General features: G+C 43.5%; 1 protein-coding gene across 14 annotated transcripts in view; it reads left to right on the forward strand.

The window, feature by feature from the left end:
• DPP6 (dipeptidyl peptidase like 6) overlaps nt 1-20,849 on the forward strand; it is a 1,146,153-nt gene that overhangs the window by 556,524 nt on the left and 568,780 nt on the right. For 4 of the 14 annotated variants that reach the window (NR_157196.2, NM_001936.5, NM_001290252.2 and 1 more), the window contains exon 1: nt 503-895. The exons of the other annotated variants lie outside the window; for them this stretch is intronic. Coding sequence is in view for 3 of the 4 variants with exons in the window: in NM_001936.5 (NP_001927.3) it covers nt 839-895 (57 nt within the window). In the remaining variant the exon portion in view is untranslated. Of the gene's footprint in view, nt 1-502; nt 896-20,849 lie in introns of those variants that run through there. 14 annotated transcript variants of the gene reach the window in all.

Consider the following 20,849-nt stretch of genomic DNA (forward strand, 5'->3'; position numbering starts at 1 on the left):
CTTTGATTCTAACGATGGAACATAAGTTTTCTGAATTTTGAGGAAAACAAAGCCCAAGATTTCAACAACCAGTGTTCCTGCCAAATCCACTGGGCAAACAGAAAAGCTGCCTGCCTCCGGTGCTCCCAGACCCCCTTCCTTCTCAAACACGCATCAGACACTTTGCACCAAGAAAAAACAAAGGGCATCCCTCCTGGGGCCACCTCTGCCCCCTGTCCAGGTACGCGCTGTCTGGCGCGCCCTGCGTGGGGGCCGCAGGTTCAGACACCCGGGCGCGGCGCGGGGCCCTGATGGATGCGGTGACCGAGGCTGTGGCTGCGGGCGCGGCGTCTCCGCGGCAGTCGCTGCCTCCGCGGCCCCCTCCCCAGCCCCAGCCCCAGCCCCAGCCCCAGCCCCAGCCCCAGCCCCAGCCCCAGCCCCAGCCCCAGCCCGGCTGAGCGGGCGGCCGGAGCATGCGCCGTGGGCGCCGGGCCGGGAGGCGGGCGAGGAGGCAGCGCGCATCACTCGGGTCCCCTTCCTGCACCCAGCCGCCACTTGCCGGTTGCTAAGCAGTTATCATTGTTTCTGTGGCGATTGCAGAGGCTGTTGCTAATTGGAGAAGCCCCACTAAGCAGCGGCAGCTTCCTGCTTCGGATCCTCTCTCTGCTGCTTGCATTTAAAGAGCAAACTCGTCTTGTCTACCCACCCTCCCTCCCCCATCCTCCCCAAAATAGCCTTGTGATTTCGGAAGTATGGACTAAAATCACACTCCTCCTTACCTTACCGCTTGGACTCTGGTGGCTCCCAACTCGCCGTCAGACCCCACCTGCCCCGGTGGTGGGAAGCGCCTGGACAGACCATGACCACAGCCAAGGAGCCAAGCGCTTCGGGGAAATCCGTGCAGCAGCAGGAACAGGTAATGCTGCTTTTGGGGGTCCGTGTGTGTGTGTGTGCGTGCGTGTGCATGCGTGCATATGTGTGTGCATGAGAGAGACAGAGACAGAGAGGGAGGATATGTATTTGGGGAAGAATTTTGTATTTTGTATTGGTTTATGACTGTAGCCCCCTGAGCCACCAAGCTGGGAGGAGACGTAGAGTGCTGGGTGCTGCTGGAGTCTGCGGCTCTCCTCTCCCTGGCTTCTCTCTCTAAAGGGCGCCCTGGCTTGATGATTAAGGTACAGGCACAGGGAACCTCTGTCAAGGTAAACTTGATGTGAAACACCTCTGGACAAAGGCCTCTCTCTACAGAGCCGCCAGATCTAACGAGTTCCCTGGGAAGGTTCCCAGCTAGTACTTTGTAACTTGGGGGAAGAGGGTTGTAGCCAGAAACATCAGCGTATTCTGACCCTCCAACAGGACTTTGCTTTGGTTCTAAGACAAGTCAAAGAAAATGAGCTTACTGAAAGGACTTTTCTTTGGATACCTCGTGGCCCTTTCCTCCTGTTTCCCTCAAGAGCAAACTGTCCCTGCTAGAGAAGCCGAAGGATAGACGGTCGGGATAAAGGAGGACTCGGCCGAGAAGGTGCAGGTTTAAAGGGCTGACCGCGGACGGGGAAGGCTGCGTGGGTCCCACATGGCACAGGGCGGCCGCTCGCCTTGTCCTGAGAAGACCACGGTCTGCAGAGGCCCAAGGGGTGAGGGAGGAAAGGTGAGTCAGCCAGCCGCTTCACCACGCGTGTAGACATCGTAATTCCCTCCTTGGAAGATCTTGAGGGTTCTTGTCTTTTAATCATTGCTCAGTTCACCTCAGGCAGATCATTAAAATAGATCCTGGGAGACACCAATAGATTCACAAAGCAGTTTGCTCAAGCGTGGTAAATCAACAGCTTAAGCTGACTTCTCCTATTTATTTTAGGGTTGCTGTTGGATCTCATTTGCTAGGATTAGGGCAAAGATAGGCGACCTCTTTAGAGTTCAGGAAGCTGAAGAGCCTCCTTGAGGACACTGTGTGACAGAATTCCATGCCAACTCTTCAGAGACTTACACGAAGATGAGTTTGGATTTGTATTTAGTGGGGTCATTTCCCAAAGCCCATTTATCGATAAAAGGGGGCCATTTTATTAGTACCATCATTATCATCATCTAAAGAACTTAAATGAAGTTTTATGTCATCTGGGAAGAAGATTCTGTAAATACGGACATTAAAAATTTTTATATTCAGTGTGACAGTGTGCATAAGGATTGATGCTCAGTATAGCTTGACAGGTTCAAAACAGACAAACCAAACCCTCCTCCTTTCAAAAATTCCACAGAATATTTGCTCAATAAAGAAATATTTCCACACTAAATTAGCATTCTGTAATTAACTGGGTTTCTTTTTATTACAGTTCTCCTCCCTCATTAGTTATGAAGTAAGTGTGCGATGGGCTTTCAGGCTTGAACTAGGACTCAGGTAGCATCCCTGACCATGGGAGAGAAGTAATAATTACGAAAGAGTGCATTGCTGTTCATAGGTCTACACCCGATACACCCAAGGATTGGGAGTCAGAAGCCCAATCTGTGTTATGTAAAAGAAATCCCTTGTTTCCTGTACAAATTTGCTCTTATTTTGCCTGATACCTGAGCATGCCAGGAGAGTGGGAATAGTTAATTAGGGTGTGGGTTTTGGAGGACCTATGAGCTCTTGGTTTGATTTTATACCTTTTTGTCATTGGAAATCCCATGTCCTTGAACCTATTCAATCGGAGAAGGCTTAAACTGATATAAAACTGAAGAGCAGAGGCAGCCATGGCTACAGCGAGCAGGTGGGACACCCAGAAGAAGCAGCTGTCCTCATCCCATGCAGTTGTGAAGCCGCTTTTTCTCCCTCCTCAGAGAGGTGTCACCTCAACCCTAAAAAATGAACAGCCCCCACCCCCACCATGAAGTATAATGAAGAGGGGAACAGCAGAGATAAGATAAGCCAGATGGGACAGGGGGTGAAGACCCCACATTTCAAGTGTATATACCTTGAGGAGACCTTACCTGGGGTCTGAACACACTGCTTAGAACATAAAGAGGTAAATAACCTCCTAAAATAAAATCCCTAAAGACAGTCTCTTATTCCTGCATTATATATAATTTTGAAAGGTATTAAAACTATGCTGTGTGCTTAGACTGCAGAACTCTTAATGAGTTCTCCATTCTTTATTTTATTTTATTTTCCTGGTTGCTAATGAAACTTCAGGGATACCTCTATTCCCAGGCTGGTAGGCATGTGTAGGGAGACCAGGAAAGAGGAATATGTTTCTTTTTTTTTTTTTTTAATTTATTTTTTGAGTGAGAGAGAGGATTGCTGCTTTGTGGATTGGTTTTGAAGCAGGGGGTCATTAAACTGTGCTAACTCAATGACTGCCTGCAAATCACCAAGTGTTGATTCTTATGAGAAACTCACTGGCACCTCACATCCTCATCTTGTGAGGCATTAACCAGAGAACTGGGATTGAATGGAGCCTGATGCCATCTCCGACATCCTTCCAGCTGTTTGGTTACTGCAATAGACTACCCATTACTTCTTAGCAAGTGAACAGAGGAAAGTGAGTTTCTTTACCAGCCTTGGTATTTGGAAACCAGGCATATGGGTGGTGGGTGGAAATAATTTTTGTGTGCTGAGGATGGCCACAAATTAGGGGGGAAATTAGAAAAAAAAAAGATTTTACTATTAGTTAGAGATTGTTGTTTTTTTTCTACCGTGTTTGCTAAAAAAAATGTGTAAAAAGAGTATTTTGGGATTTTTGGTTTGTTTTTTAAAGGATACTAAATAAACAAGCCAGAGTAACAAGGAGAATTGGCTTCTGGGAGACTATTTCTCTTTCTCTTTGGAGATGCTAAAGTTTATTTTTAAATGAAGTATTGCAAACCCAGAGATGTTTGGAAGCAATATATACTTTAATCTGCATGAACTGAGTTGATCCTTTGGCTCTGAAGCCAATCAGGTGATACTGAGACTCCTCGGTGAAAATGGCTGAGCATTGGCTGCACCTGACCTCTGCTCCTGCGCAGAGGGAAGCCTGGTGAGGGACCCAGAAAAAACACTGAGGCAAGTCTGGCTTAAATTTACTATATTCTCACAAGCCAACGGAGCTCTTCCTTAGAAAACCAAATTAAGGGATTTTTTTTCCCTTAAAATAAATAAAAGTACAAATTTATTGTAGTACATACTGTCTCCATTTCAAATGATTTAAAATTGAAAAGCAGTGATCAGTAAAGCTATTAAGAGAAGACGAAAAATTAATTCCCTCTGCTTGCAATGAGCCAGGACACATTTTTGCTCAAATATTAAGCAGGGATAAGTTTTTCCTAGCATATTGTGTGCATGTGTATGTATGTGTGTGCATGCGTATGCACACACAAACAAATGCACACACGTGAACAGTCACACACAGGCACACCTCGTGTGTCACAAAATCAGAGTTGGAAAGGACCCCACACATGCACTCGTTGGTCCTAGTTCATGCTCTCGTGCTGAGGAATCTCACAAATGTGTGAGAATATGCCTTTCCTCAAAAGATCTCCAGAAAAACCTCCTTTCACATGGAAATAGCCTACATTCCACTGGCTAACTTGGATCTTTGGTTATATGTTCAGTCACATTTTTAACTTCCTTAGACCTGAAAATCAGCTGTTCTCATCACACCTTGTATATGTGACTGCTGTTTTTTGTTGCTTCTCAGTTTTCTTCAAGTTGTACAAATCCTGATAGATAACTCCCCATGTGTCTGTTCTTCTATTAAATTATGAGCCCCAGGACCTAGTATTAACTTAAATTTGGTGTCTGAACATATATAATAATGCCATTACAGAAGAACTTTTTGAAATGAATAGAAATTTTTAAACAACAGATTCCATAGAACGGACATTGAAATGCATGTGAATTCTGGGAGAGGTTAGGTGGCCTCCCGGAAGGGCACATAGGTAATGGCCCAGTAAGAGAATTTCTGATGTTCCTGTCCGCTGCTCTCTGATTTTGATCTTGTTGCTTCTTGCAGTAGATACTGAAAGAGAGGATCTAACTTTGACCATAATGAGAGTTAAATTTTTTATGTAGCCATATTAAAAGGCAATGTGAGACATCCGTATTTAAGATAAATGTGGTAACAGGAAAAAAAAGAAGTGAAAAGAACACAGAAAAACAAGATTCAATATTAGGAAGTGCACATAACTATTGAGGAGTCCCAATAGGGAAGGTGGTCCTTTTGCAGTTCAAAAAGGGCATGGGGTGGGGTTGGTGGCCCTTTCACAGTTCACACGGACATTGGATGTAGCAGCCATGCTCACGTACAGTAAATTCCATCTGTGCATGGTCTAAATTATCTAAGACTCTGTAGATAAAAAGAAAACTTGAAGGAACTGCTGAAGAATAGGGACACCAGGTTCTTAGGATTGTGTAGAAGTACATCTGGGACTCATGGACTTCCAGAGCCGGGAGACAGGATGGAGTTTGGCTGCAAAATAGGCTGATGTGTGAAGGATTTGAGGAGAGAACTGGGAAGTCTTGGATATCCTACAGAGAGCAGGTCCAGAACCAGAGCTCCCTACTGGGAACACCAGAGTGGGTCCTTGAGCTGATGGGGAGCAGCATGGAGTCTTTGGGGAAGGGAAAGAGCTTAGCTGGTGTGGTGCTATCCTCAGAGGAGGGATGTTTTGCTTGTTACCAAAGAGAACAACATGATGAGGAAGCAAGCACGCAACTAGCCTGGAGGCGGCATGCGCTGTGCTCTGAGAACTGACAGGTAGTTCACAATCTTTTGGGATCCGTGTCACCAACTTACTAAAAAGTGCAAATCAGCAAGTGCCATTTAGCACATCAAATGAAAGCCCAGGCAATTGAGAGCAAGGACAAATGATACCCAGATTGGCTTTTGGTGCAACCCAAACTCAAAACAATGGAAACAGTGTTTCTGTTTGGTTTTGTTTTTTAAAATGCTTTCTCTGTGCATTAAATGCATTTTGTTATTTTATTCTGACATTCCATTAAACCAAATCCAGCCCCCTCATTCTCAATACTGTGGTTATCAGGGCAGATATACTCAAAACCTTCAAATGCTCCATGGAGAACACGTGAGGGCTGGAGGGTGCTTTTCATTAACCTTCACCGAAACATCTTAGCTCCAGCGTGCACGTGGAAAGTGTTAAGATGCTAATCACTTAGAGGAATGAACAGCGTGCACGTGGAAAGTGTTAAGATGCTAATCACTTAGAGGAATGAACGGTCACCGTCTCTGCCTCATCGGGAATTGTAGCGTTATTATCTTTTATGGAAATGAGCTGTGCCTGTGTTTGGCACTCACTGATCTAGTTTTGCAGTAGGCATCATGCACCCTCTGTCATTGAGAAAGAGAGGGCAGAGTGAATCTGTGGATCCAGAGTTCTAAAACCTGAGGAAGAGTATATAATTCGGGGAGAAAGTGATTCTCTATAAGCTCTGAGAGGTCAATGGTTGACATCCTTGCTTGTAAAAGATCGGACAGGTAGGGGGTGTATCATCTTGTTTCAGACACTGTTTGGAAAAACAAAATAAAGTGGTTTTATTTGAAGATGTAGGCTTGGTTACCCCATAGCCTTAAATCATGGAAGTAGGTAACCATGTCAATTTGCATGGGGAGCCGCGTGCAGTGGCTCATACCTGCAGTCTTTGGGAGGCCGACGAGAGAGGATTGCTTGAGTTTAGGAGTTCAACACCAGCCTGGGCAACATGGCGAAGCCCCATGTCTAGAAAAAATAGAAAAATTATCCAGGCGTGGTGGTGGCGCATGCCTGTTGTCCCAGTTACTCAGGAGGCTGAGGTAGGAGGATCACCTGAGCCCAGGGAGGTCAAGTTTGCAGTGAGCCGTGATCACACCGCTGAACTCTAGCCTGGGCAATGGAGTGAAACCCTGTCTCCACAAAAAAAAAAAAGAAAAAGAAAAAGAAAATCTGGGTGGGATGTAAATTGCAATCCTGTTTGTTGGTGCAATTCTGCATGTGGCTGATATCCTAAAGTCCTTCCTGACTTTGATAGCATGTGTTTCTTGAAGTGGGGAGTGGAGAGGTCTCAACACACACAGCCCAGGTAGAATGATCAAATCCAGAAAGTTTATTCTCTGTCCTACTCCCATCCCCATTTGTTGTTGACCTTTCAGGACTCTTTACTTCTACATCCCGGGTAGGCCCTTAATCTCCACTGGTACCCATGGTTTAGCACCATTTTCTCATACTTGACTCTTCTATCAAAAATGCTCCATGTGCTTTTCCACCTGGGCCTTGCTAAATGACTGAGACAAATCCATTCATTAAACAAAAAGTGTAAGGTGGGTGTCATGCAGTACTTTCCTGAGAGCATTTGCAATTTCAACAGTAGCTATTGGTGATAAAACCCAATGCAATTATTAATGGTGGAAATTTCAGGCACAAAGTTGTGGCAAGACCTGATGGAAGAAAAAATATTTAGTCACATCGTTAAGGAATAATGAAGGTGAGGTCACAGCGGGGACAGTCTTGGCACCCCTTAAATCATCGACAGGCTGTGCACATCCTGGAGGTATCTGTTCATTCTGTGTTCACATTAGAGCTGGTCTTGTATCAGGCAAGTACCAAATTACAGATCCTGTTGCTGCTTTCTGCTTTCAAATCCTGAAGGATTTGATAGTAATAGTGTTGAAATGTGCAGCGATTCCTTCTTAGGAAAAACTGCCATAATATGCACAGGCATGGAGTCAGTGCTGTGGGTCCCCTTTGATCCTGGTGGCTGGGATCCTGAATGCAGCCCTCCACCAATGGCTTTACAAAGCACGTTGCTGATATAATGAAGTCTTGCTCCGCAAATTTTTAGTGACAATGTATGTAATTATTCCTTTACTAGTATCTGATCCATTTTTAAGAAATTTAACTTCCCCTGCCAGAATTCAAGAAAAACTGCTTTCCCCAGTGTGGAACTGCACGAGACTCAAGCGTCACCTCGAGCTGCTAAGTTATTAATTTGGAACACAGGCTTTTAAACAATATCTGTATGTGCGCCCATGTATGTGTGGGCAGAGGGGGCGATGGGAGACCAGCCAAATCTGCTGATTAAAATGGGAACACCGTGGTGATGGCGGGGCTCTCTCAAAACACTTTAAAAGGCCGAAGTCCATCTTGTGGACATGCTCATAAGATTTCTCTTGGAGACAATGGTAATTCATTCTCTTAAAAAGGATTGGTTCAACCCTTTGAGTAGGCTACCCACAGCAAGATGTGAGATCAGAACCAAAAAATATTCAAAGCATATTCCATGTTTTGTCTTTTGGAAATAATATGTGACAGAGGTGGTCTTGAATAGTAATGATATATGTTTCCAAATTAATGAAAATAAGTTATTTCTTTATTCTCTAGCAGTGATTCTTGAAATTCTTCATTCTTTTTAGAATATTTGAAGTTGTTATAGCATTCACTCTAGGAATTCCAAAATTATGACACTAAGTATGTATCTCAAATCAGGCCTCTGAGTGGGAAAGGGAAGGAAACATATTTTTAATTTTAATAGTCTGCCTAATATCCCATCCACTTATTAGACAGATATTGGATCCAAGGAAGATTTTTATTTTGATAAACAGTAATGGGAGAGCCAAGGTAGGGGGAAAGGAGAGCTGGATGGGAACAGCTCAAGGTCAGGAGAGAGCAGAACAGTCCACAGCCAGGGTGCCTGGACCCAAGGTGCAGCCAGCGGTCTGCTGGAGAAAGGTGGAATGTGGCTGCAGGGGCACACAGAGATGGTTTGGGAAAACAGAAACAGGAACTGTGATATGAAAGTGTTTTGAAAGCATACAATGGAAAACAGCAATGGGCTTGTAAAGTTCTAGAAGGGAGGGAGGAAGTCTGAACGTGGCACGAGAGGCTCTTGCTTAAGAGAACAGGTGTTTGTGGAATAGGTAAAACCAGAGGAGTGACTTGGACATCAAAATTTTATTTTCTGAATGTGATTATTTAATCTAGGCATGTTTTGATAGGTGAAAAAAGGGACTAGAAACTTCTGGCTTTCAAAGAGCAAAAAGAGTTTGTTATTTCACAAATAAATTCAAGTTTACCTAGAAGCAACAAGATATTTTAAGATATGGTATATATATATATATATATATATATATATACACACACACGCACGCACACACACACACACACACACACCCTTACATATATATGTAGTACTTCCTGGAATAGCCTGAGAAAGAAACATTTAGGAAGACTCAATATAATTATTAATACAATTTCTGGCTCTGATTTTGATGAGCCAGATATTTTGATGTTCATTTTGATGCAGTCTGCCATGCCTGGAACACCAGGTCATATGGTACATATGACTTGGTTAAAGAAGAGATTAACCAATAAGAGAACTTTGGCAGGTAAGAACTATTTTGCCATTAAAAACCATGAAGCTGTAACAACGTCTCAAAAGCTCCCTTGGTGCATTTTATTAATTCTTTCTGCTCATTACTAGGCTTGGGATGATGAAGACCTGACCCTTGACTTGCCAATAGCTAACTTACGGGGGAGTTGGGAGAATTGCTGTGCTTTGGCATGGATGCCCCTGACTTCTGATCCGAGCTCCTCCACCTGCTAGCTGAGGGATATTGGACAGTTCTGGACTGATTCTGTATCTATGAAATGGGGATGATTCCTGTCACGCTGTTGCTGTAAAAAACAAAATATAGAAACACGGAATGCTGTTCTTGGCATGGAGATTTCAAACTATTGTTCAGTGAACACCTACTATGTGCTGACATCCCAATGCTACTTGAATCTTCTTATTTTCAGCATTTGGTCAGAGCTCATGTCCCATTTTTAAGATGATTTGTTCTACAAAATCATAGAATGTTTGACTTTTAAAGCTTCTTATAGCCCCTCTTGCCCAGTGATTTTTGGACTTTTGTTTTAGTAACGTAAACCCCTTTTCCAAAGGGCACGTCTTTTCCAAGATTGGCATGTGAAGGTGGTGAACGTGCTGGCTTAGTGCCCCTGAGACGTGTCAGCAGAGCCCCAGGGCATGGGGGAGCCCAGCTCACAAACCACACATCTAATTCAGCAGTCTAATCTTGCACAGGAGTAAAACCAAGCTCAGAGAGGTTGAGTAAATTACCAAAATCATGCAGCTGGCAAGCTGCAAATTCAGAACACAACTCCCTCCTTTTTTTTTTCCTCCAAATCAAGCAATCCTGAGTGAAACGTGGGAAATATAATATGCCAAGAAGATTAACACGAAAACTGTTAACTGGCAGCTGCAAAGGAAATAAAGGAATTAGATAATATGAATGGGTTAACAAATTCTCGCCTGGAGGTCAGTTAAGAAAAGGTTTGTGTCCTCCAGGTAAATCAAACCTACTGCGGTTTTTCCTCTTCACATCTCATGGACAAACACAGCCATTTCTTCTTTTTATTGCACCAGTGCTGGATGCATGAGGTTGTTCGTAGCAATCTGTCATATTTGAGTAATTCGTTATTTAATGAGTTGCTTTTGAAACAAGGAAAATAATGAGGATGTTACCGTTGTGTATCTCCCCAATTTTTAAAAGGAAGCAACAAATAGTAAATTATGCATGCTTTGGAAGTATGCAGTAGTTAATTTTCAATCTCATCTTACAGCTGAATAACCTCAAAGGTAGTAGTTATACAACAGGTGTGGGAATATGTGAGTGTGAGGGAGAGGAATCCCAGGACATCACCTGTACACATTGGGGGTTTGGCCCAGCAGGGCTTCAGATGTTGAAACATCTGGAAATTTTATTTGCTCACAAGCTTAAAATGAACCAAAAGTATGTTGCTTATTAACACTTTTGAGGATCTGATGAAAGCCATAGGACTGCTTGCCAGAAAAATCCCTACAATTTTTTGAGTTCCTAAGGTTCACATTCCCTTCATTTCTGTCTGTGGACTCCAGGTTGAGCGTCTCTGTGGTCACCATGGTCCCCAGCAAGCTAGCACAGTCTTAAGACACATCAGTAGGAATGTACTCAGTGCTCAAAGCTTACATAGATATTGACCAGCAGCCATCACCTCTGGGGGGCTGTGCTAGGGAGGCACAGCATGTAGAAGAGGCTGGAATGGGCCAGGGAGAGTGGTAAGGGAGCAATGGGTAGGAGATCCCAGAAGTGGTAGGTAATGGACCGTGATCCATGTCAGGTGATTAAAGGCTAAAGGAATATGGTTCTGTCCTCAACCACATGGTGGCCTCAGCCTGGGATACATGACTGTGTCTTCCTCCATAGGGGTCAGTTTAACTAAGAACCCCAAGTATTGAAGACCTCAAGACTTTAATATGGTACTTCCTGTACCTTGACACACATATATAAGCTTCTGAAGGACACAAAACATGCCACGTTACTTGTTGTATCTCTGACGCCAAGCACAATGGTGACCCACTTGCTTGTGTGCTAAATGAATCAGTGAGTGAATGAATTGTGTCCTCCTCTCTAAACCTCCTCTACTGAGTTATACACAAAGTTGAGGGTCTGTGGTTTTACTATTTATTCATCGAATGAACCATTGAACAAAGTAATCAAATTTTCAGAGCCCTGTAGAGAAATCAAATCTCCCTCTGAATTGCTAACTCACCTTGCTTTCCCTATTGTTTAAAGTGTCATAGCCACTCTTCCTTTCCCAACACTCCACCCTCACCTGTCCTACCCAAAAACATTTCTCTGCTACAGAAGCATGAACTATTCACTCCAGCCACCAGCCATGCATCAACATTCAGTCTTGCTGTGATTCATCTCCATAAGATAAGTGAATATTCTCTCATTTACCAACTGTATAGATAAGAAAACCATCAGAAATCAAAGAACTGTTGAAAAATGGGCATTTTACATCACCAAAGCCCTTTTTTGTTGTTGAAACAGAAGCTTCAAGTCTTCTCCATCCACTGAAATGAGTTGTTGAAGTGGAAAAGTAAGTTCTAATTGAACCACCTTCTCCGATGCAGAGAAAAAGCAGACTTGAACAATTGGGTTGATCTTCTATTTCTCAGGTTGGAGAAGTGCTTTGAGGAAAGAAAGATGGGGAATCAAGATCAGAGGAATGCAAAGTTCTGGAATGTTTGCCTCAGTTGCCCTCTACTGGGTCTGGCTTGGGGAAGTTTGTAGAACTTTTTAATGAGTCATTGTAGGTTCAGGAGAGATTTCAGATGTGGGGGACAGGGTGAAATGCTTTCTTACACAGAAGTGAATGAGTTAGTGAAACTGTAGCACGTACAGTTTGGGAGAATGGGGGCAATGGGGGGATTGTGGTACGGGAGAAGGAGCACCAGCCTGGGATTCAGACAGGTCTGAGTTTAAATTCCAGCTCTGGCACTTGCTAGGTAGGCAGCGTTGGACAAGTTGGGTAACCTCAGTTTCCACCTTGAGCAAGTGCTTGACTAATAACAGCTGTGACTGTTACCAGTATGGTAATTACAGTATCCCAAGGTGTAAAGAAGCAGAAGCATGATTATATGAGTTGGGTCAAAGATTTGGCTGTCTCCCTGTCCCCCCACCAATCTGGCTACAGGGCAGACTTTGCTAAATAGACACAGATTTACTTCCAATGAAGTGGGTTTGCTGCACTGAATAAAGTAGTTTACTTTTCCTTCACTGCAGCTGTGCTTGAAATTGGACAGAAAGCCAGGTGTGGTGGCTCACGCCTGTAATCACAGCACTTTGGGAGGCTGAGGCGGGCGGATCATGAGGTCAGGAGATTGAGACCATCCTGGCTAACATGGTGAATCCAGCCTGGGCGACAGAGCATGACTCTGTCTCAAAATAAATAAATAATAATAAATTGGACAGAAAATAAGATAGAGTTGTAGCAATTAGTCTGCAGTTTTTGACTTTATTAAATTCACTTAGACATGTGGCTGCACCATTATGCTAAGGTACCTGAGGCTCTACTATGGTGTATTCATTGTCGAAAATGTGTTTGCGATGTAGATACTTCTTTCACCTAGTTCTATAGTGATACTATTGGGAATCTGAAGTTGTCAAGCAGCTAGTGTATATAATTGCATGTAAAATAGACTGTATTTTGTACTTATTGAAATCTAATGGTGATACTTGGTTTTAGATTACTGAATGTAGATTCTGAAGAATTATGGCCCCAGTAATGAATGGATGTGTAATTAGAATTTTTATCATTATTCTGTAACATCTCTGCTGAAAATTTCAGGTTTATATAATTGTTTTGGCTTGGCTTGAAACACAAATTATACTTAAAGTAACAGACAGTAATTGAGAAAATTATACTTAAAGGAACAGACAGTAATTGAATCCAATAAAAACACCAAAGAAGATCAAGATTGCTGTGAGTGGAGAGTCTGGCTTGTATATTTTGCGAACCTCATGGCTTGAATGACATATTCTCAACAAATGCATGCCAAGTAAAGAAAATACTGACTTTATGTTTTTGATTCAAATATTCATTTCATGAAACTCCAAATAACTTTTAGTGATATGGTAGTTTATGTGTTGATCCAGTGTTTTAAATTTTAACAATATACAGAGAATTCCTAATTACACTGGAGATTTTGAAATTTTCAAAAAATAAAATTTTGTATAAGCTTTACCCTGTGAGGGAATCCTCACTTCTGGTCTCAAATCAGCTAGTGTTGGGCATTGAAAATATTCACAGAGATTATGTATTAATTATATAGTTGTACTTAGAAATGTATATGAGAGTTGTTAATGACATAGGACTCAATATTCGTCTCCCTCGTTCTCACTCTTTGTATGCTTAGGAATGCCAATTACTTCCTCACATTATCCTGTAAAGAGGTATAATCGATTTAGAGATAATGAGAGTGACCTAGGGAAAAAGTTATTAAGCCACAAATCAATTACACCCTATCAACCACACCCTCACTTGCTCTCCCCACCTCTCTTCCAGCCCCCAAATACCAAGACCAAAAGCTTGGAATCACTTCATGGAAAGTCCTTTGAAAATGATTTGTACACTGATAAAACTTCTTGGAAACATAAATCCCTTGACTGATACTTGTTGAGCAAGTTAAAGATGTCCCAGTTCACACCTATTGCAACAGAACCAGAAATCACTGAAAGAGGCTAAGTTGTACCCGTAAGTTTGGAATGCAGAGCTGGGTTTCTGTCCTTTGTTATTCAGGATGTATTTCTTTCTTTCTTGGGCTCAGTAAGTAGAGTGTAGTAACAGTGTAATAGCATTTGTGTTCCCACCTTCCCACACTATACCCCACCCCCCCCAAGCCATGGCATGAGCTTATATGTTAGAGAAAAAAGAAACAGCTTCGGAGAACCTGGCCATTCGAGGGCCATGCTGTCTGGTAGCTTCTGTGTTGGCAGTGAGGATCATTGATGTGGGTGATGGGCTTATGCCCAGGCATGTGTGTTCTTCATCCAGCCTACCCTCCTCTGCGGTTCTGGTTTAGAGTGTGTTGGTTTGGGGCAGTGTGATGATCTTTATGTGGCCCCCAGGGCCAGCAGCAGGAGGTGTCTGCCATGTCAGGGGAGAGTAATGAAGTCTGGACACCATGGAATGCCTGTGTGCAGCCTCTCTGCGCTTGTCCTCATGAACTTCTCCAACAGTCTTACTGATTTTTTTACAACAAAAATTATACCTAATGATTATCTATTTCATGTACAAACACAAAGACCATTTTACTGTTAGGATTGAAATAAAACTTTTTTTGTCTTCAAATTGTTTTGCTCTAACACAGGCGAGATTTTTATTTTTAAAGACAAGGTTAAAACTCTTTTTCTCTGCATAATTTCAGTGTCTAGAATAGAGTAACAGTCCTGCTTTATATTTGTATAACGCTTAGCACCAGTGCTAACAAAATGCAACATGAGACTGGGCATGGTGATTCATGCCTGTAATCCCAGCACTTTGGGAGGCCGAGGCGGGTGGATTGCCTGAGGTCAGGAGTTCAAGACCAGCCTGGCCAACATGGTGAAACCCCATCTCTACTAAAAATACAAAAAATTGCTCAGGTGTGGTGGCGGGTGCCTGTAATCCCAGCTACTCAGGAGGCTGACATGGGAGAATCGCTTGAACCCAGGAGGCGGAGGTTGTAGTGAGCTGAGATTGGACCACTGCACTTCAGCCTGGGCAATAGGAGTGAGACTTTGTCTCAAAAAATATGCAACATGCCGGGTGCAGTGGCTCACGCCTGTAGTCCCAGCACTTTGGGATGCTGAGGTGGGCAGATCACGAGGTCAGGAGATCGAGACCATCCTGGCCAACATGGCGAAACCCTGTCTCTACTAACAATACAAAAATTAGCTGGGCATGGTGGTGGGTGCCTGTAATCCCAGCTACACAGGAGGCTGAGGCAGGAGAATTGCTTGAACCCAGGAGGCGGAGGTTGCGGTGAGCCGAGATCACACCACTGTACTCCAGCCTGGGTGACAGAGCAAGACTCTGTCTCAAATATTTCAAATATATATATATATATATATATATATATATGCAACATGAACTACTATGTAATTTAAAAATTTTACTAGCCACCTTTAAAAATTAAGAAGAAACAGATGGAAATGATTTTACCATGTATTTTATTTAATCTAATATCTCAAAAATCTATTATTCCAACATAGAAGCAATATAAAAATTGTTAATGAAATATTTTACGTTTGTTTTTTCCACTCCGAGTCTTTGGAATGGCATGTGTGCTTTACACTGACGGTGCCTCTCACTTCAGGCCGGCCCTGTGTCCAGTGCGGTCTCCATAAAGGACTCTGGTGTCCAGAAGTTCCCATGGCCGCTCCATTCCGTACTTGGTTTTCACAAAAACTGTCTCCTACCTTCTAATGTCCTCAATTCTACAGGAAAATGAGAATCATCTCCAGACAGTAGAAACTGTATCCATAATCCATATTATGAAGAGATAAAATAGCCAATTGTACTTTGTTTTTTTTTTTGTTGTTGTTTTTCTTGAGACAGAATTTTCCTCTGTTGCCCAGGTCGGAGTGCAGCAGTGCGATCTCGGCTCACAGCAACCCCTGCCTTCCAGGGTTTAAGCGATCCTTCTGCCTCAGCCTCCCTAGTAGCTGGGACCACAGGCATGTGCCACCATGGCCAGCTAATTTTTTGTACTTTTAGTAAAGACAGGGTTTCACCATGTTGGCCAGGCTGGTCTCGAACTCCTGGCCTCAGGTGATCCGCCTGCCTCAACCTCCCAACGTGCTGGGATTACAGGCGTGAGCCACTGTGCCCGGCCCCTATTGTACTTCTGTTTGAACTTATATTGGCAAATGTAGTAATTTTCTAGAGTTTTAGAGGAGGTAGTGTTTATTATTATAAATATTTGCTGAGAACTTTCTGAGCAAAGGGTACTATTTATTCTATATAAATATGTACTGAGCATCTGCTAGTTATTTAACAGACTTCTAGGCACAAAGGATCCAATGGAAAAAATAAGAATATTCATATTTAACAGCTTCTTTGTGCTCTAGGCATTGATTATTCTCTGCATTGATAGAATTTACACTTGCAGCTTTCACCAAAGAAAATGTTCCACAGTTTAGGCAGCATGGCAAAAATCCATCTCTACAAAAAAATACCAAAATTAGCAGGTGGTGCATGCCTGTAGTCCCAGCTACTCAAGAGGCTGAGGTGGGAGGATCGCTTAAGCCCAAAAGATCGAGGCTGCAGTGAGCTGTGATTGTGCCACTGTGCTCTAGCCTAGGTGACAGAGCCAGACCCTGTCTTTAAAAAAAAAAAAAGAAAAAATGCTATAATTTTACAAAACCTGCTCTCCATGTATCCCTCTCTACTCTCCTTAAGATGAACACTGGGTCTGGGGTGCAGGGGTGCCACAGCTGGAGTTGAAGAGGAAGTTAGGAGAAGGCTAGGAACCATCACGGAGATTTTTCACCCTGGTTCCTTCATTATTACTTGTTGGGGATCAGTGAAGATTAGAAATTGATGATGGCGGCCAGGCGCGGTCGCTCACGTCTGTAATCCCAGCACCTTTGGGAGGCTGAGGCGGGCGGATCACAAGGTCAGGAGTTCAAGAACAGCCTAGCCAATATGGTGAAACCCCGTCTCTACTAAAAATACAAAAAAAATTAGCCGGGCATAGTGGCGGGTGCCTGTAATCCCAGCTACACAGGAGGCTGAGGCAGGAGGATCGCTTGAACCCAGAAGGCGGAGGTTGCAGTGAGCTAAGATTGCGCCACTGCACTCCAGCCTGGGTGACAGAGCAAGACTCTGTCTCAAAAAAAAAAAAAAAAAAAAAGAGGAAGAAATTGAACATGGCTTTACAGAGGAGCTTCTCTTCCCTGCAGGTAGCGGCCTTAGACCCTTGTCTAAGGCAAAAGTGGGATTTAGGGAAAGATACTGTGGTAGCTGACACAGAATTGCAAAAGGCTGAAAACCCCCGCCAGCGAAGGGCAGCAGCTGCTCCCCTCCTGTGGGCACTCTATTGCCCTCATAGAGAGAAGGCATCTCCCAGCACTTTCTACAACCACACCCCCAACCCCCAACCCCCAACCCCCAGCTTAGTTCTCTAGAAGAGCAGACCCTCACCCTCCCCCACCTCCTCAGCCCAGCCTGGAAAGGCCCACGGAAGGACTCTGCCAGCCCTGGCTAAAGTTATGTGTCCACCTCTAGAGCAGCCACCTGGCCTGGGGACGAAGCAGTATGAGCCCACATTCTGAGTTGTAAAACCCCACAATTAGGAAATAGACTTAAAGTGCTCCCATCACATTAGGATGCAATGTGCATTTTTGTTTGTAGAAGCTTGTTCTCCATTTCTTCTTATTTGGGCAAAATAAGCTCAGTTTGACTAACTCTGCCATCTCTAACCCAGACCCCACCATGCTCTGACACTTTGACAAGCACACTGGATGGGCAAAAGAGTCAACTACCGAAGGAAGACAATTTTCGTTTGGTCTAAAACTTTATACCTGTGATATTCTGTGCCATGGAGAGACTCGTGCTTAATAATTCACTTTCCAATGATCTTAGGCAATGTAGAAGATTACAAATACTGTGAGACCTGAACTCCTCCTTCAGGGAACTTAACAGTTTTCAGTGGCGGGGGAAATAAGAGTAGATTCCTGAAACCATAGCAGCATCCGATAGAACAGAACATTTCCTCGACTCTAGCAAATCTCTTAATTCCAGGTGTACTCGGGAAGATAGTAGCATTTATTGGGTATATACTATGAAGAGAGAAGTGTCATATCCTGAGAGGGGGTTTATAGGCAGTAAACATTGTAGTCTTTGCCTTCAAGGTGTTTGAAACATAAAACATGCTCACATTAGCTAAATATGCCTGCTTCAATGCCTGTACTTATATCACACAACCGACGTTATCAACCTGGTTTCAAACGCCATGAGCAAAAATCAAATCAGGTAATGTGTGTGAAAGTTCATTATGACTGTACCACCATACAAACCGAGATGGTATTACTCCAGTCAGACCTTCTGTTTTATAGTGTGTTCCAGAAGCTGGCCTGGTTGCAGAAGAGAGTGAGCTCATTAGCCCTGTTCAAAAAAAAAAATAAATGGAATAATAAAGAAACTTCAAAACCAAATGAAATACCATTCCATGCACATCTTGGAAAAGTTTATAACGTATTTAAACATGAAGAGCTATTGTAAGCTTGACAATAAAACTGTGAGGATATTGTTCATTTCCGAGATTCACTTTTCCAAGATAGCTCTATCGTGAAAGTCTCTTTTGGAGTTTATGTATAGTTCTTTAAATTGGCACAGTTGGCTTAAAGCTAAAACACTGTAGTTTGCATTAAAAAAGAAAAAAAAAAAGCAAGTGCTTTTGCACAAAAGGCTGTAAGAAATGAGGGCTGCATATGAAGCGAGTGTTCCGTTGACTGTGTGAGTGTGAGATCCTTTTGGCTTTAGTCATTTATTTGGGGCAAGCTCCGACCTTGATGACAGATGATTTCGTCAAGCTCTCCACAAAAGGTACATGTCTATTTTCATCGTCAACTAACTTCTGTGGAGCACTTGCTGCTTTTGGTCCCCTAACCATGAGGTTTTATTGACCCATTTGCCATCTCTGGGGTAAGTGGATGGAATCATCTTTCTTGAGAGGAGAACTCCAGGAATAATATTACACTTGTCTCTGAGCCATTTGAGCTTGCTATTTTTACAGATTTCAGCCTTAGTTCCTTTTCCTCTTCCTCTGTCACCCTCAGAACACTGGGACAAGGGGGAGCCATGCTGTTTCATAAACTTCCCATAGAGGTTCTGAGTCTCCTTTTTAGCTGATTCCCATGAGTTTGTAATATTTTGATCTGAGCTGGTTGCAGTTTGAAATAAATAAAAGCAATCTGATTTCATTCTAGCCAACATCTGATGGGTTTGATATGGATGAAAGCTAATGAGAGGTACAAGTGAGACAGTACAGGTGAAAACTACAAAATCTCTCTTGTAAAATACACATATACGCAGACCCATATTTTCCAATGACACTTAAAAGGAGTGATACCAAGAGGAAACACTGAGTCCCATGAAACATTTCTTCAATCAGGACAGAACCATGAGCAGAGGACATAGTGGGTGGGGTTCGTGGAAAAATAGAATATATATCTAATTTTCTGTTTGATGATGGTCTACGGATTGATTTAATTATGATTACTACAGTAACTTGCCTAGTACTTCCTGTTCACGGTTGCCTTTTACATGCACAGCAGGTTGCTTGGGGAGCTGATGTCTGCTCCTAGCCTTTCTGCTCCGGTACCCTTTGTTCTGTTCCATTATGTTTCAGATAATTTAATCAAAGTTGTGTTTGCTTGTGCGCTCCCCCCTTTGAATCATTCTCACTGCACTTCTGCCCCTTCCATGCAGATGCAGGCTGATGCCGGATGGGTCTCCACTGGCCTCTTCTCTGGACTTCTCTGGGGCCCGTATCAGAACCCAAAACCTAGCCTCAGCTTGACTTCTTCCTCTTACCACGGGGTGACCCCGGTGTGATCTCCCCTCCCAGGTTCCATCCAGCATGACCGCCGGGTCTCCCTCTGCCCTACTTGATTGCACTCACCTTTTGTTACCAGTCCAGGCAGCAGGCTCCATGTCTGGGTTGGGGGTGTTTCCTGGCCTGACGGGGCACCTTGTTCGTTTCACCCAGGCAGGAAATCACGTCTTGTTTCAACATCCTGAATCTTGTCCTGACGTGGAAACCGTGATGCTAGCTGACCTGACCTGCAGCCTCAGGCATCCCTCGGCCCTTTCATGGCCTGGTGTTTATGTGGTCCGTCCTCACAAACTCTTAGGATGGGATTTATTGTCTCCATTTTCTTTTCTTTCTTTCTTTCTTCTTTCCTTTTGTTATTTTTTTTTTTTTTTTGAGTCTTGCTCTGTTGCCCCTGGATGGAGTGCAATGGCACCATCTTGGCTCACTGCAACCTCTGCCTCCTGGGTTGAAGCGGTTCTCCTGCCTCACTCAGCCTCCCGAGTAGCTGGGACTACAGATGTGTACCACCATGCTTGGCTAATTTTTTTATATTTTTAGTAGAGACAAGGTTTTACCATATTAGCCAGGCTGGTCTCGAATTCCTGACCTCAAGTGATTCTCCCACCTTGGCCTCCCAAAATGCTGGGATTACAGATATGAGCCACCGTGCCTGGCCTACAGTCTCCATTTTCTATAGGAAATGAAAGCTTAGTGAGAGAAGGTGCCCAGACCCCCAATGGCTGCGAATCGGCAGAGTTGGGCCCCAGTGGGTCTCCTCACTCCATCCCCCTTGTACCACCCAGTGTCTCACCAGCCATTCTGCTCAGATGGGATGTAGGGCCTATATAGCAAATAGAAGTTTTCTGGGAACCCCTTAATGACAAAAAATACTTGCTTTCCAGAGTATTCATGGCAGGCCTTGATAATCTTGAGCCTCAAGTGCCCACAATTCCTTCTGGGACTGACTTTAAACCTTTATTTCAAATACAAGCTGGGTCTTCATTATTCTTTGTTG

The sequence above is a fragment of the Homo sapiens genome, chromosome 7 (assembly GCF_000001405.40).
Source record: "Homo sapiens chromosome 7, GRCh38.p14 Primary Assembly".
NCBI lineage: Eukaryota > Metazoa > Chordata > Mammalia > Primates > Hominidae > Homo > Homo sapiens.